The 14,763-nt window shown below is 47.3% G+C and overlaps 7 gene segments (V, D, J or C) and 1 further gene, besides 4 other annotated features; all 8 read left to right on the forward strand.

The window, feature by feature from the left end:
* TRA (T cell receptor alpha locus) overlaps positions 1-13,769 on the forward strand; it is a 930,229-nt gene extending 916,460 nt beyond the window's left edge.
* TRAJ6 (T cell receptor alpha joining 6) lies at positions 710-771 on the forward strand. The segment is given in 1 exon segment: positions 710-771. A coding segment is annotated over 1 exon segment (62 nt), but the record flags the coding sequence as incomplete, so codon positions are not given.
* Positions 1,884-1,943, forward strand: TRAJ5 (T cell receptor alpha joining 5). The segment is given in 1 exon segment: positions 1,884-1,943. A coding segment is annotated over 1 exon segment (60 nt), but the record flags the coding sequence as incomplete, so codon positions are not given.
* Positions 3,836-3,898, forward strand: TRAJ4 (T cell receptor alpha joining 4). The segment is given in 1 exon segment: positions 3,836-3,898. A coding segment is annotated over 1 exon segment (63 nt), but the record flags the coding sequence as incomplete, so codon positions are not given.
* Positions 4,816-4,877, forward strand: TRAJ3 (T cell receptor alpha joining 3). The segment is given in 1 exon segment: positions 4,816-4,877. A coding segment is annotated over 1 exon segment (62 nt), but the record flags the coding sequence as incomplete, so codon positions are not given.
* On the forward strand, positions 5,708-5,773 carry TRAJ2 (T cell receptor alpha joining 2 (non-functional)). The segment is given in 1 exon segment: positions 5,708-5,773. A coding segment is annotated over 1 exon segment (66 nt), but the record flags the coding sequence as incomplete, so codon positions are not given.
* On the forward strand, positions 6,674-6,735 carry TRAJ1 (T cell receptor alpha joining 1 (non-functional)). The segment is given in 1 exon segment: positions 6,674-6,735. A coding segment is annotated over 1 exon segment (62 nt), but the record flags the coding sequence as incomplete, so codon positions are not given.
* TRAC (T cell receptor alpha constant) lies at positions 9,143-13,769 on the forward strand. The segment is given in 4 exon segments: positions 9,143-9,416; positions 11,275-11,319; positions 12,194-12,301; positions 13,242-13,769. Coding segments are annotated over 3 exon segments (427 nt in total), but the record flags the coding sequence as incomplete, so codon positions are not given.
* Positions 11,904-12,043: an enhancer, noted in NCBI's record as "active region_8127". NCBI's record gives its function as "activates an Ori minimal core promoter by ATAC-STARR-seq in GM12878 lymphoblastoid cells {active_cell/tissue: GM12878}" and the evidence as "EXISTENCE:reporter gene assay evidence [ECO:0000049][PMID:35858748]".
* Positions 12,134-12,213: an enhancer, noted in NCBI's record as "active region_8128". NCBI's record gives its function as "activates an Ori minimal core promoter by ATAC-STARR-seq in GM12878 lymphoblastoid cells {active_cell/tissue: GM12878}" and the evidence as "EXISTENCE:reporter gene assay evidence [ECO:0000049][PMID:35858748]".
* Positions 12,224-12,383: an enhancer, noted in NCBI's record as "active region_8129". NCBI's record gives its function as "activates an Ori minimal core promoter by ATAC-STARR-seq in GM12878 lymphoblastoid cells {active_cell/tissue: GM12878}" and the evidence as "EXISTENCE:reporter gene assay evidence [ECO:0000049][PMID:35858748]".
* Positions 12,474-12,523: an enhancer, noted in NCBI's record as "active region_8130". NCBI's record gives its function as "activates an Ori minimal core promoter by ATAC-STARR-seq in GM12878 lymphoblastoid cells {active_cell/tissue: GM12878}" and the evidence as "EXISTENCE:reporter gene assay evidence [ECO:0000049][PMID:35858748]".
* Positions 13,770-14,763: the final 994 nt, after the last annotated feature.

The raw sequence follows: 14,763 nt of genomic DNA on the forward strand, positions 1-14,763 counted from the left end.
CACAGAGGCAGGGCCTTGTCTGAGTCAAGGTCATTAGAAATAAAGGAATCCAAGGGCTTTGGATGCCTTGGCCTAATTCTAGGTGGTAAAGAGGGAAGGATGAAAGCACAAATCACAGGAAGTGCCTAAATCCTGCTTGGATTTAGTGTTGCCTCAAACAGGGATATGCAGAAATCCAACCCCAGGGTCTCCCATAGGAAGAAGACTAGGAGTGGGAAGTGCCAAAGAGCTCTGGAAAGGAAAAGAGAACAAGGAGCACTCTGAGAAAAGGAGGTCAGAACAGCTTCAGGAAAAACGTCACATAAAATTTCCTTTGCTCTCTGTCCTCGCAGCACTTTCAGAAGCTCCTTGCATCTGACTAAAGAGTAGCAGAGCCAGACCCTCAGAATGTCTGCCCCAAGCAAGCAGAGTGTGGTGTTTGTATTGGGGTGCTGGGAGCAGACATGGGGAGTTGCTGCCCTGCTTCTCTGCTGATGGGAAGGTGGTATTTTCCCCTGGGTACACGGGGGCCAAAGAGCTCTCCAGTCCCCAGCCCCTGGCTCCCGCCCCTGGGCTCCAGCACTCGGGGGCTCTAAGGACAGCAGTAGGAGACTTTCTACAACTCAGAGAGTATTCAGGAGGGTTTCCCAGGATGTTGCCCAATACCATGGGGCAATTGGTAGAGGGAGGTCACATGAAACAGGTTTTATCAAAGGCTGTCCTCACTGTGTGCATCAGGAGGAAGCTACATACCTACATTTGGAAGAGGAACCAGCCTTATTGTTCATCCGTGTAAGTATTATAGAAATGATCAAGGGAAATTTTGCAGACAGATTATATTATGGAAGGATACTGTAGTAGTGAGAGTTTGTGTTGTGATCTATTCCATCATTAAAGGAGTCCTTTGTTGCCTGGGAGTAACTATCAGTGTCAGGTCTGATGAGATGATTGAGGCTGTGCCGGACAAGGGTTTTGCACAATGATTTCAGAGGACAAATCCCCAAGTTGTGAAAAAAGACTTCACTCTTGGTTAGGTTTCTAAAACAGAACTTTCTTCTTGGCAACCAAGGGGTCTACTCTGCCCCCTCACTCCTATGTCTCTTCCACCTGAGACTCTGTCACCACCTCCCCTAGAATCCGTGAGATACCTTCCCCTGAATTAGAGCATACCAGCCAGGGTGCTGAGGCACTCTGTGGTACTGGAATGGATGGTACAGGGATGCGTTTCTGGGCTTCTGGCTGCAAGAAGCCTCATCCTTTCCCCCAGTGTAAAGCATTGCTGGGAATCATCCCATTATGAGCTACTATTTACTGAATGCCTGACACGTACCAGTGGCCATTCTCTTGTCTTTTATGTAATCCTCATTCAGTGATTACACACATCCTAATAATAGGTAGCCGATATTTTGCCCATTTTACAGGTGAGGAAACAGAGGCTTGGGATAAGTAACTTATCCAAGATTATATAGCCACGAATGACAGAGCTAGAGTTTAACTCAAATCTGTTTGACTCTAGGGCCTTGTTATTAACCGTGCCACCACCATGCCTCCTGCATTCTGTGAAGGAAGACTTCACACCTCAAAGGCCATCTGTTTGGCCTTTGGTTTGCCCATCCTGAGCCTTCTTACCATAGCGACCATGGCATGGTGACTCAGCACTTCTGAAGAGATCAGCAGAGTCATTGGGTTGGGTGGCAGAATACAGGTATGGCAGGGAGGGAAGGAGAAACTTAGGGGGACTGTTTATTGCGCATACAGTTAGAGAGAAAGAAAAATGTATCAACAAACCATAGAATAGGCTGCTTAAAAGTTTTTCTCCCAAGAAACTGTGAGTGTATGAGGGTCATGGGCAGCTGCCCCCAGCTGGCAGAGGGCAGGATTTTGTACTGTGATGTACCAGGGTGTGGACACGGGCAGGAGAGCACTTACTTTTGGGAGTGGAACAAGACTCCAAGTGCAACCAAGTAAGTACCCAAACTTAGGCTCTGGCCAAAGACACAGAAAGCCCCTACTCTGCTTTCTTAGATGATGAATCTGTACTTCCTGAACTAATTTTTCATGTTTCTTTATGAGGCTTGAATATCTTGAAATTTTAATTCCTAGCCACTAGCTTAATAGTCTGTTTTCTAACGGTAGTATTTGCCAATGGGAATTGGCCATTTCATCATTGCAGAGACAGATTCCTTTGAGACAAAAGATCTTTATCAGAAAAGAAACTGTGACTGATTATGCCAAAAGATTTATTTTTGTTCCATTTAGTTTTCATGAAAGGTGATGAATTATGCTTCCCAAAGACTCTGGGCATTGGACACACTTTCTCAAAACTGCACATCCAATTGAGAGATATAGGAAGAACTTAGAGCCTAAATAATGCCATAAAAATAATAAAAAGTTTGTAAAAAGGAACCATATAGAAATTAAAGAAGAAATGAAATAGTCTTAATGAAAGAAGATAACAGAACTGCATTAGAAACGAATGGAAATATTTAGAGGGTTTATGTATTCAACAAATATTTATTGGACAATTATTTTATTCCAAGCACTATGTTAAGTGTGAGGAAGGGAATGGGAGGGAAGGGAAGGGAAGGAAAGGAAAGAAAGGAGAGGAAGTAGAGGAAGGACCGGGAGGGAGGGAAGAAGGAAGAAAAGGAGGAAAGGAGGGAAGGAGGGAGGTTCTCTTTCATCCAGGGAAGGAGGGAGAGTCTCTGCCATCCGGGAGCTCAGAGTGCAAACAGACAACTATAGCCTATTGTCACCACGTCATAGTGGAGGTACATGCAAGTTGCAATGGAAGCACAACAGAAGACATGACTAGCCTCCAATTCTCATTGCCTGGTACATACACACATCCTCCACTATACCTTAAGCTCCATGAGGGCAGGACCCTTTTTCATCCTCACAGCTCTACAGCTCAGCACAATGCCTGGCACATAGGTGTCACCAAACAAATGATTGTGGGGAAAAAAATGCCTTCTGGCTAGATGAGTTATGATTTATACATTAACAAATATTCTCTAACAGAGAGAGTTGTTAGACCTCAAAACCAGGAGATTGCAGAATCCATCCAGATGTCTGTGGTGGGAGAAGGCCCATCTCTCAGGGAAGAGCACCTCTGTATTTATCTGTTCATATGTGTGCTTCATCAAAGCCTCTTCTCAGCCATGGTTCAGGCTGAATTTATAAAGCTTGAAACCTATCGTATTTCTCAAGAATCAGAGATCAGAGGTGGAAGGTTTACAATATCTCGATAAGTAAGCAGTACAAATGAGTTCTAGCAGTAAAAAAGAAAGAGGTCTAATGATAAATATATGAAGCCTGTCTCCACTTGAGAGACCTCCTAGAAAAGATTTGTTCTAAGGAAACTTTTCTCCATTAGGAGCAGAATCATCTTGGAAATATACAGCTCCAAGTTGTGTTAGAAAGGTGTGTACAAAGAAGACCAAAAATTCACATTTGGAATAAGGCATTAAAGTTGCCATTGTTTCTAGTAGGGAAACCCTGCAAAGTGTTGGGGCATCGTAGATCCTGCATGTTGACGCCTGCAACTAATCTGCCCCGGAGCTGTTCCGACAGTGGCTGGAGCATTTGCTGCACAGTTGCATAGGTGTTCAACAATTGCCAAAATAAAATGAAGCTATTTCGTGATGATTAGAAAGAAATAATCAGCATCAATGAGGCCTCTGATGCATCTTCAGGAGTGAGTAGGTGGAATGAAGACCTGGTAGGTGAGACTTTTCTCTCTTGTCAGAGAAAGTTTGACTTGGGGGAGCCTGGAAAACAGGGACAGGAGATGGAGTGCCCCAGCCAGGCATGCCCTGCCCAGGTCAGAGTTCTTGTAAAGCACCATCTGATTGTGTGTTTTCTGGTGGCTACAATAAGCTGATTTTTGGAGCAGGGACCAGGCTGGCTGTACACCCATGTGAGTATGACCCTGCAAGTGACCAGTGCAAAAAGAACTGACCACTTGTCTATGAGAAAACAGGTGATGATCTATAGCAAACTTGGGGATATATTGAGAAGCACTCATTTTCCATTCCTACAAGCTCTCTTGGTGACTTAAAATGTTCCCATTTCTCATATGAAACACAGAAGTGCCAAGAGCCAATTGCGTAAATGAAAATCTGAGCAGAATAATTTATAGAAACATAAAAAGAGTTCCAAATAATGAGTGCTTTCAAGTGAAGCTGATAATATCGGCACCAGATAATCTGAACATTCAGGAAATTAGCTAAGTGCCCTTGGGGGAAAGAGATGAGTTAATGGCAAACACAAATTCTCTTTTATTGCAGCATGTAGCTAAATTCCCTGGATTGGCTAATAAACATGGTATGGGGATCCCTACTCATAGAATCTTCCTCTCTGGAGTTAGGAGAGTTTTCAGCTTCCTCCTAAGGGTAAAAGTGGCCCAGACCCCTAACTGAACGGCAAGTATACCACATGCAATTACAAGGTATAGAGGCAGCAATGTAGAGGGAGGCCCACAGACCTGGGGAAAATCTGGGCTCTACTCTCACTGGCTGTTTTCAATAAAGCCTCCACTTTCTCAGCAGCAAAATGACTATAACTACATCATAATAATATGAGATAATGGCCAGAATGTAAAAAGTGATCAATAAGTAGTAGCTTTTCTAAAATATTATTATAATTATTATTATTGAGGCTTTGCTTATACTAAGGTTTACACTATCATAAAGGGAAAGGAGAATCGCTTCCTTGGGAAATAAAAGATGTAAGCAACAAAGACCCAAGGAGCCTTTTAGAATGTTGCTCTGGGACCCCAGTGGCTTCCAGCAGATTAGCATCAAGAAGGTTATCTCAAAGACCTTACCCACAGTGGGGGTACAGCAGTGCTTCCAAGATAATCTTTGGATCAGGGACCAGACTCAGCATCCGGCCAAGTAAGTAGAATGAAGCAGGAGAGCAAGGGAGGACGGACAACTATTTCTTCTTTGTCCAAAATGCCAACTTGAACCCAGGTATTTTCCTCTGTGGGCTCCAAAATGGTTTCTTCCACCCATCCCCAGAAAATCCTCCCATCCAGCTCTCGGTGCTCTGCAGACATCATCCTTAGGCTGGGACCTTAGGAACCATGAGGCAGGCAATGAGCGAGTACTCCTGAACCTTCCACAAACATATCCAAGATACTGCTGCCTGGAATTGAGGTTTTTGTTCTAGGGAATTATTGGTTTATTGAAATCATATGAAGTCACAACCTCAGCCCAGGGAATCACAGCAGAATGGAACAGGAGGAGAACTTTTGTATCAGAAGCGAAATTTCAGTGCAAAAGAGCAGAAGGTTTAGGCCTGGCGTGGTGGCTCACGCCTGTAATCCTAGCACTTTGGGAGGCCGAGGCAGGGAGATCACAAGGTCAGGAGATCAAGACCATCCTGGCTAACACAGTGAAACCCTATCTCTACTAAAAATACAAAAATTAGCCGGGCGTGATGGCACGCGCCTGTAGTCTCAGCTACTCGGGAGACTGAGGCAGGAGAATTGTTGAACCCGGGAGGCAGAGATTGCAGTGAGCTGAGATCGCATCATTGCACTCCAGCCTGGGCAACAGAGCAAGACTCCTTCTCAAAAAAACAAAAAAAAAAAAAAAAAAGAAGGTCTAACCCTTAGGAGTGTGATTATCCTGTTCTCCTGCCTTGTGGGGGAGATCAGTGTTTCTCTTATTTAAGTAATAGGTAGGTCCTGTGAGTTTGTGCAATGGTGTCACCTACGGTATGAATACTGGAGGAACAATTGATAAACTCACATTTGGGAAAGGGACCCATGTATTCATTATATCTGGTGAGTCATCCCAGGTGGCACCACGTGCAACCCCATGGGCCAGTGTCACTAATCCTTTCTCTGGAGATATCACTTATTACTATGGTGAGGCTTGCTGTAGATGTTGTAACTAATTTTCTTACAGAGGTCTGGGAAGGGAAAAGCATTACTATCTATCTTGAATATTCATGTTTCTCTAGGTCAAACACATTAAAATTTGACTTTAATCATTCAATGGGTATTGTAAAATGCCTTCTATGTGACTATCACTCTATAAAATGTTAGACTGAGTATGAAGTGTGAGATAGATTCCTGTCCTGTCCTCAAGTGGTATAAAAACTAGACAAAGGTACTGAACTATTGTAAATTAAGCAGCCAGAAAACTATTTTAGTATTGACCAGTTGATGATGTCAATGGACACAATAGAGATTCAGAGGGGATAGGGTGCTGGCTGAGAAGTTGGCCTAGACTGAGAAGTTTCCTGTGGTACAAAGGATTCATTGAGCCCTGAAGGATGGATAAGATCTGTATGGGCAGAGAAAGGAGAGAAGGGAAGTTCTGGGCGTAGGGAACGACAAGAAAGAAGGCATGATCTTGGGAATAATCAAGGCACATGCAAAGTAGCCTAAGTATACATCTGATAATAAAATTGGTTGAAAAGTAGTCAGAGAAGATGTCTTTTTAGGCATGGAAAAAGGAAATACTAGAGCATTCAACAGAATACAGAAATTAGGGCCAGGGCCAGCCATTGGGAAACTGAGAATCCGATTTAGAGATGCAGACTAGAAGTGAAGGTGAGAGCAGCCAGCTATGGTGCCGCAGACCTCCCCTCTCCTTCCTCAGTGGGCTCTGAGAGGGGTCATCCCACACCTTAGAGGAGGAGAAACCTAAGGGATTCTGTAATAGAGACACGGGGCATGGTATGAAAGTATTACCTCCCAGTTGCAATTTGGCAAAGGAACCAGAGTTTCCACTTCTCCCCGTACGTCTGCCCATGCCCACAGTTTCCTGATGCTCACTAAAGCCTCGGTGGGACCCAGAGTGACTGTCACTAATTCTGATTTCTGGGTCCCTAGTGCCCAAACACGGGGGACAGATTTAATGGTAAGGAAGCTTTCAATCACTGCTGTGTCCCTAGGGATCTAAAGCACTAGAGCACATGTGCTTCTGCAGTTCATTTTGAATTTAAAGGACAGCTTAGGATCTAGAATAGCTGAATTTCCACCTCAAAACATTGGTTCCGTCTTGCCAAGCCTACCTTCTGATATCATCAGTGATGGGATGTGTTTTTCTTACTAGGGTAGAATAGGATGTCTCTCCCCAAAGGACTCTGGCAGACAGACCCCTAAACACCTCCAAATTAAAAGCGGCAAAGAGATAAGGTTGAACTAGACGTACATGGGGATAAAAAGTATAAAAGGTACATGGGAATGAAAGGATAAAAAGGCTAAAAAAATTAAGTACCTCTAACTCAGCCCCTGTTGCCATTTCTCAGAGTCTTGTGTTCTGTGGCATTGCGCTTTCTAGACCAACAGTGTCCAATAGAACTTTCTGTGGCAATGGAAATGTCCTGTCAATCTGCACTGTCCCATACAATAGCCACCAGCTACATGTGGCTATTGAGCTCTTGAAATGAAGTTTCCATTTTTAATTGAAAACATTTTATTTCACATTGACTAATTTTTATTTCAACAGCCACATGTAGCTAGAGACTATTATACCAGACAGAGCAGCCTAGATCTTCTCCAGTCTGACACCCACCAGCCCCAGGACTTGAGTGAGTGTTTAACCAGGACTCAAAGTTGGGTTTCTGCCCCACAAGGCCACCCCCTTTCCTCTTTAAAGCCAACCTGCATCTGGTGGCCCCTGATCCCCTGCCTTGAGGATCGGCACTTCCAGACTCCTCTCCCCCTCTGCAGTGCTGTCCAGTACCCCCACTGATGACTAACAATCAGGGGGATGTGTTGGTAGAGCTAATGGCTTTCTGTCTGTCCCTTCCCAGCAAAGGAACTATGCCTTAGGGCCTTCACCCAGAGTGATGTCAGGCTGCCCAAGCATGAGGAGGGAAGTAGGCAGAATCCTCTGGAGCCAAAGCTCTGGATGTCTCTCCCCTCTGACCATGGAGCCCACCCCTGCTCCACTGCTCCAGGGACAGCCCTATGCTGCAGGCAGCTCTGCCCCCACTCAGCATCCCAGGGGCTGATTTCTTTGGTTTTGGATCCAGCTGGATGTCTGCATTGCCGAGGCCACCAGGGCTGGCTCAGCAACTGTCGGGGAATCACCAGGGTCTGAGAAATCTTGTGCGCATGTGAGGGGCTGTGGGAGCAGAGAACCACTGGGTGGGAAATTCTAATCCCCACCCTGCTGGAAACTCTCTGGGTGGCCCCAACATGCTAATCCTCCGGCAAACCTCTGTTTCCTCCTCAAAAGGCAGGAGGTCGGAAAGAATAAACAATGAGAGTCACATTAAAAACACAAAATCCTACGGAAATACTGAAGAATGAGTCTCAGCACTAAGGAAAAGCCTCCAGCAGCTCCTGCTTTCTGAGGGTGAAGGATAGACGCTGTGGCTCTGCATGACTCACTAGCACTCTATCACGGCCATATTCTGGCAGGGTCAGTGGCTCCAACTAACATTTGTTTGGTACTTTACAGTTTATTAAATAGATGTTTATATGGAGAAGCTCTCATTTCTTTCTCAGAAGAGCCTGGCTAGGAAGGTGGATGAGGCACCATATTCATTTTGCAGGTGAAATTCCTGAGATGTAAGGAGCTGCTGTGACTTGCTCAAGGCCTTATATCGAGTAAACGGTAGTGCTGGGGCTTAGACGCAGGTGTTCTGATTTATAGTTCAAAACCTCTATCAATGAGAGAGCAATCTCCTGGTAATGTGATAGATTTCCCAACTTAATGCCAACATACCATAAACCTCCCATTCTGCTAATGCCCAGCCTAAGTTGGGGAGACCACTCCAGATTCCAAGATGTACAGTTTGCTTTGCTGGGCCTTTTTCCCATGCCTGCCTTTACTCTGCCAGAGTTATATTGCTGGGGTTTTGAAGAAGATCCTATTAAATAAAAGAATAAGCAGTATTATTAAGTAGCCCTGCATTTCAGGTTTCCTTGAGTGGCAGGCCAGGCCTGGCCGTGAACGTTCACTGAAATCATGGCCTCTTGGCCAAGATTGATAGCTTGTGCCTGTCCCTGAGTCCCAGTCCATCACGAGCAGCTGGTTTCTAAGATGCTATTTCCCGTATAAAGCATGAGACCGTGACTTGCCAGCCCCACAGAGCCCCGCCCTTGTCCATCACTGGCATCTGGACTCCAGCCTGGGTTGGGGCAAAGAGGGAAATGAGATCATGTCCTAACCCTGATCCTCTTGTCCCACAGATATCCAGAACCCTGACCCTGCCGTGTACCAGCTGAGAGACTCTAAATCCAGTGACAAGTCTGTCTGCCTATTCACCGATTTTGATTCTCAAACAAATGTGTCACAAAGTAAGGATTCTGATGTGTATATCACAGACAAAACTGTGCTAGACATGAGGTCTATGGACTTCAAGAGCAACAGTGCTGTGGCCTGGAGCAACAAATCTGACTTTGCATGTGCAAACGCCTTCAACAACAGCATTATTCCAGAAGACACCTTCTTCCCCAGCCCAGGTAAGGGCAGCTTTGGTGCCTTCGCAGGCTGTTTCCTTGCTTCAGGAATGGCCAGGTTCTGCCCAGAGCTCTGGTCAATGATGTCTAAAACTCCTCTGATTGGTGGTCTCGGCCTTATCCATTGCCACCAAAACCCTCTTTTTACTAAGAAACAGTGAGCCTTGTTCTGGCAGTCCAGAGAATGACACGGGAAAAAAGCAGATGAAGAGAAGGTGGCAGGAGAGGGCACGTGGCCCAGCCTCAGTCTCTCCAACTGAGTTCCTGCCTGCCTGCCTTTGCTCAGACTGTTTGCCCCTTACTGCTCTTCTAGGCCTCATTCTAAGCCCCTTCTCCAAGTTGCCTCTCCTTATTTCTCCCTGTCTGCCAAAAAATCTTTCCCAGCTCACTAAGTCAGTCTCACGCAGTCACTCATTAACCCACCAATCACTGATTGTGCCGGCACATGAATGCACCAGGTGTTGAAGTGGAGGAATTAAAAAGTCAGATGAGGGGTGTGCCCAGAGGAAGCACCATTCTAGTTGGGGGAGCCCATCTGTCAGCTGGGAAAAGTCCAAATAACTTCAGATTGGAATGTGTTTTAACTCAGGGTTGAGAAAACAGCTACCTTCAGGACAAAAGTCAGGGAAGGGCTCTCTGAAGAAATGCTACTTGAAGATACCAGCCCTACCAAGGGCAGGGAGAGGACCCTATAGAGGCCTGGGACAGGAGCTCAATGAGAAAGGAGAAGAGCAGCAGGCATGAGTTGAATGAAGGAGGCAGGGCCGGGTCACAGGGCCTTCTAGGCCATGAGAGGGTAGACAGTATTCTAAGGACGCCAGAAAGCTGTTGATCGGCTTCAAGCAGGGGAGGGACACCTAATTTGCTTTTCTTTTTTTTTTTTTTTTTTTTTTTTTTTTTTGAGATGGAGTTTTGCTCTTGTTGCCCAGGCTGGAGTGCAATGGTGCATCTTGGCTCACTGCAACCTCCGCCTCCCAGGTTCAAGTGATTCTCCTGCCTCAGCCTCCCGAGTAGCTGAGATTACAGGCACCCGCCACCATGCCTGGCTAATTTTTTGTATTTTTAGTAGAGACAGGGTTTCACTATGTTGGCCAGGCTGGTCTCGAACTCCTGACCTCAGGTGATCCACCCGCTTCAGCCTCCCAAAGTGCTGGGATTACAGGCGTGAGCCACCACACCCGGCCTGCTTTTCTTAAAGATCAATCTGAGTGCTGTACGGAGAGTGGGTTGTAAGCCAAGAGTAGAAGCAGAAAGGGAGCAGTTGCAGCAGAGAGATGATGGAGGCCTGGGCAGGGTGGTGGCAGGGAGGTAACCAACACCATTCAGGTTTCAAAGGTAGAACCATGCAGGGATGAGAAAGCAAAGAGGGGATCAAGGAAGGCAGCTGGATTTTGGCCTGAGCAGCTGAGTCAATGATAGTGCCGTTTACTAAGAAGAAACCAAGGAAAAAATTTGGGGTGCAGGGATCAAAACTTTTTGGAACATATGAAAGTACGTGTTTATACTCTTTATGGCCCTTGTCACTATGTATGCCTCGCTGCCTCCATTGGACTCTAGAATGAAGCCAGGCAAGAGCAGGGTCTATGTGTGATGGCACATGTGGCCAGGGTCATGCAACATGTACTTTGTACAAACAGTGTATATTGAGTAAATAGAAATGGTGTCCAGGAGCCGAGGTATCGGTCCTGCCAGGGCCAGGGGCTCTCCCTAGCAGGTGCTCATATGCTGTAAGTTCCCTCCAGATCTCTCCACAAGGAGGCATGGAAAGGCTGTAGTTGTTCACCTGCCCAAGAACTAGGAGGTCTGGGGTGGGAGAGTCAGCCTGCTCTGGATGCTGAAAGAATGTCTGTTTTTCCTTTTAGAAAGTTCCTGTGATGTCAAGCTGGTCGAGAAAAGCTTTGAAACAGGTAAGACAGGGGTCTAGCCTGGGTTTGCACAGGATTGCGGAAGTGATGAACCCGCAATAACCCTGCCTGGATGAGGGAGTGGGAAGAAATTAGTAGATGTGGGAATGAATGATGAGGAATGGAAACAGCGGTTCAAGACCTGCCCAGAGCTGGGTGGGGTCTCTCCTGAATCCCTCTCACCATCTCTGACTTTCCATTCTAAGCACTTTGAGGATGAGTTTCTAGCTTCAATAGACCAAGGACTCTCTCCTAGGCCTCTGTATTCCTTTCAACAGCTCCACTGTCAAGAGAGCCAGAGAGAGCTTCTGGGTGGCCCAGCTGTGAAATTTCTGAGTCCCTTAGGGATAGCCCTAAACGAACCAGATCATCCTGAGGACAGCCAAGAGGTTTTGCCTTCTTTCAAGACAAGCAACAGTACTCACATAGGCTGTGGGCAATGGTCCTGTCTCTCAAGAATCCCCTGCCACTCCTCACACCCACCCTGGGCCCATATTCATTTCCATTTGAGTTGTTCTTATTGAGTCATCCTTCCTGTGGTAGCGGAACTCACTAAGGGGCCCATCTGGACCCGAGGTATTGTGATGATAAATTCTGAGCACCTACCCCATCCCCAGAAGGGCTCAGAAATAAAATAAGAGCCAAGTCTAGTCGGTGTTTCCTGTCTTGAAACACAATACTGTTGGCCCTGGAAGAATGCACAGAATCTGTTTGTAAGGGGATATGCACAGAAGCTGCAAGGGACAGGAGGTGCAGGAGCTGCAGGCCTCCCCCACCCAGCCTGCTCTGCCTTGGGGAAAACCGTGGGTGTGTCCTGCAGGCCATGCAGGCCTGGGACATGCAAGCCCATAACCGCTGTGGCCTCTTGGTTTTACAGATACGAACCTAAACTTTCAAAACCTGTCAGTGATTGGGTTCCGAATCCTCCTCCTGAAAGTGGCCGGGTTTAATCTGCTCATGACGCTGCGGCTGTGGTCCAGCTGAGGTGAGGGGCCTTGAAGCTGGGAGTGGGGTTTAGGGACGCGGGTCTCTGGGTGCATCCTAAGCTCTGAGAGCAAACCTCCCTGCAGGGTCTTGCTTTTAAGTCCAAAGCCTGAGCCCACCAAACTCTCCTACTTCTTCCTGTTACAAATTCCTCTTGTGCAATAATAATGGCCTGAAACGCTGTAAAATATCCTCATTTCAGCCGCCTCAGTTGCACTTCTCCCCTATGAGGTAGGAAGAACAGTTGTTTAGAAACGAAGAAACTGAGGCCCCACAGCTAATGAGTGGAGGAAGAGAGACACTTGTGTACACCACATGCCTTGTGTTGTACTTCTCTCACCGTGTAACCTCCTCATGTCCTCTCTCCCCAGTACGGCTCTCTTAGCTCAGTAGAAAGAAGACATTACACTCATATTACACCCCAATCCTGGCTAGAGTCTCCGCACCCTCCTCCCCCAGGGTCCCCAGTCGTCTTGCTGACAACTGCATCCTGTTCCATCACCATCAAAAAAAAACTCCAGGCTGGGTGCGGGGGCTCACACCTGTAATCCCAGCACTTTGGGAGGCAGAGGCAGGAGGAGCACAGGAGCTGGAGACCAGCCTGGGCAACACAGGGAGACCCCGCCTCTACAAAAAGTGAAAAAATTAACCAGGTGTGGTGCTGCACACCTGTAGTCCCAGCTACTTAAGAGGCTGAGATGGGAGGATCGCTTGAGCCCTGGAATGTTGAGGCTACAATGAGCTGTGATTGCGTCACTGCACTCCAGCCTGGAAGACAAAGCAAGATCCTGTCTCAAATAATAAAAAAAATAAGAACTCCAGGGTACATTTGCTCCTAGAACTCTACCACATAGCCCCAAACAGAGCCATCACCATCACATCCCTAACAGTCCTGGGTCTTCCTCAGTGTCCAGCCTGACTTCTGTTCTTCCTCATTCCAGATCTGCAAGATTGTAAGACAGCCTGTGCTCCCTCGCTCCTTCCTCTGCATTGCCCCTCTTCTCCCTCTCCAAACAGAGGGAACTCTCCTACCCCCAAGGAGGTGAAAGCTGCTACCACCTCTGTGCCCCCCCGGCAATGCCACCAACTGGATCCTACCCGAATTTATGATTAAGATTGCTGAAGAGCTGCCAAACACTGCTGCCACCCCCTCTGTTCCCTTATTGCTGCTTGTCACTGCCTGACATTCACGGCAGAGGCAAGGCTGCTGCAGCCTCCCCTGGCTGTGCACATTCCCTCCTGCTCCCCAGAGACTGCCTCCGCCATCCCACAGATGATGGATCTTCAGTGGGTTCTCTTGGGCTCTAGGTCCTGCAGAATGTTGTGAGGGGTTTATTTTTTTTTAATAGTGTTCATAAAGAAATACATAGTATTCTTCTTCTCAAGACGTGGGGGGAAATTATCTCATTATCGAGGCCCTGCTATGCTGTGTATCTGGGCGTGTTGTATGTCCTGCTGCCGATGCCTTCATTAAAATGATTTGGAAGAGCAGAGACTGTGCCTCTGTTTGACTGGGTTTGGTAGGAGTCATTTTCTGCTTGCTGGTGATCACTAGCTGGGCAGAGAAAAACCAAGGCATTTGTCTATGATGCTGTCCAGGAAGCCTCATTCAACAAGCTGCCTAAGTCAACCTCTTCTTGGAATAACCTCTAAAAGCTTCCGCTTAGCAGGCTATGCTGAGGGCCAGGAAAACCCACCTACCAGCTTGGACCCCTCCTCTCCCACTCTCATGCCACGCCACGGGACCACCCATAACAGGAGCCCACACACATGGGTGGCAGTGACCTGCGGCAGACAGGGACCACACAGCAAGTGTCCCCAAAATGCCACCCACTGTCTCCTGCCCTCCAGGAGCATTTCCTTTGCCTCTCCTCTCAGACTGGGTTTCCACTGAAACTGTGCATTGTCTCACAAATTCGTGGCTGGGGACCACCCACCACTCTGCTGCCTGATCCAGCCCCACGCCAGCCCTTTGAGGTGCCCAAGCTGACACCAGGAGCAAGGTTGAGAGGAAGCTGTGACCCCAGCAGGACTTTATGTTCCCACCATCCCGGATGTGAGAATGAGGAAAAAAGGAGATGAGCTGTCTCCCCACAAGCCCAGAGATTTGACCGAGGAGAGTAGAGGCCTCGAGCTCTCACCTAAGAGAAAAGACATGGGGCTTCCTGGGGTCCACAGCTCACTGCGCTCTCCCTCCTGAGACTCCTGCTGCCAGAGCACCTTTCCCCAGGGTCATGGATGCTGAGGGAAACACAACTTAGAGACCACTCCACCATCCACCCAGCAAGCACAGCTACCAAGACCCAAAGCTGAGGCTTACCAATGCCCAGGGTGGGAGGGGGTTCCATCCCTGAATAACTCCATGGTTCCCCTATGCGTCTGACCATCCCAGCCAGAAATACATAAATCATCTCAGCTACAATTCAGGCCTGCTTCTTTTCATAGGGATGAAGCTACAGGTTG

This window comes from Homo sapiens, chromosome 14, assembly GCF_000001405.40.
Source record: "Homo sapiens chromosome 14, GRCh38.p14 Primary Assembly".
NCBI lineage: Eukaryota > Metazoa > Chordata > Mammalia > Primates > Hominidae > Homo > Homo sapiens.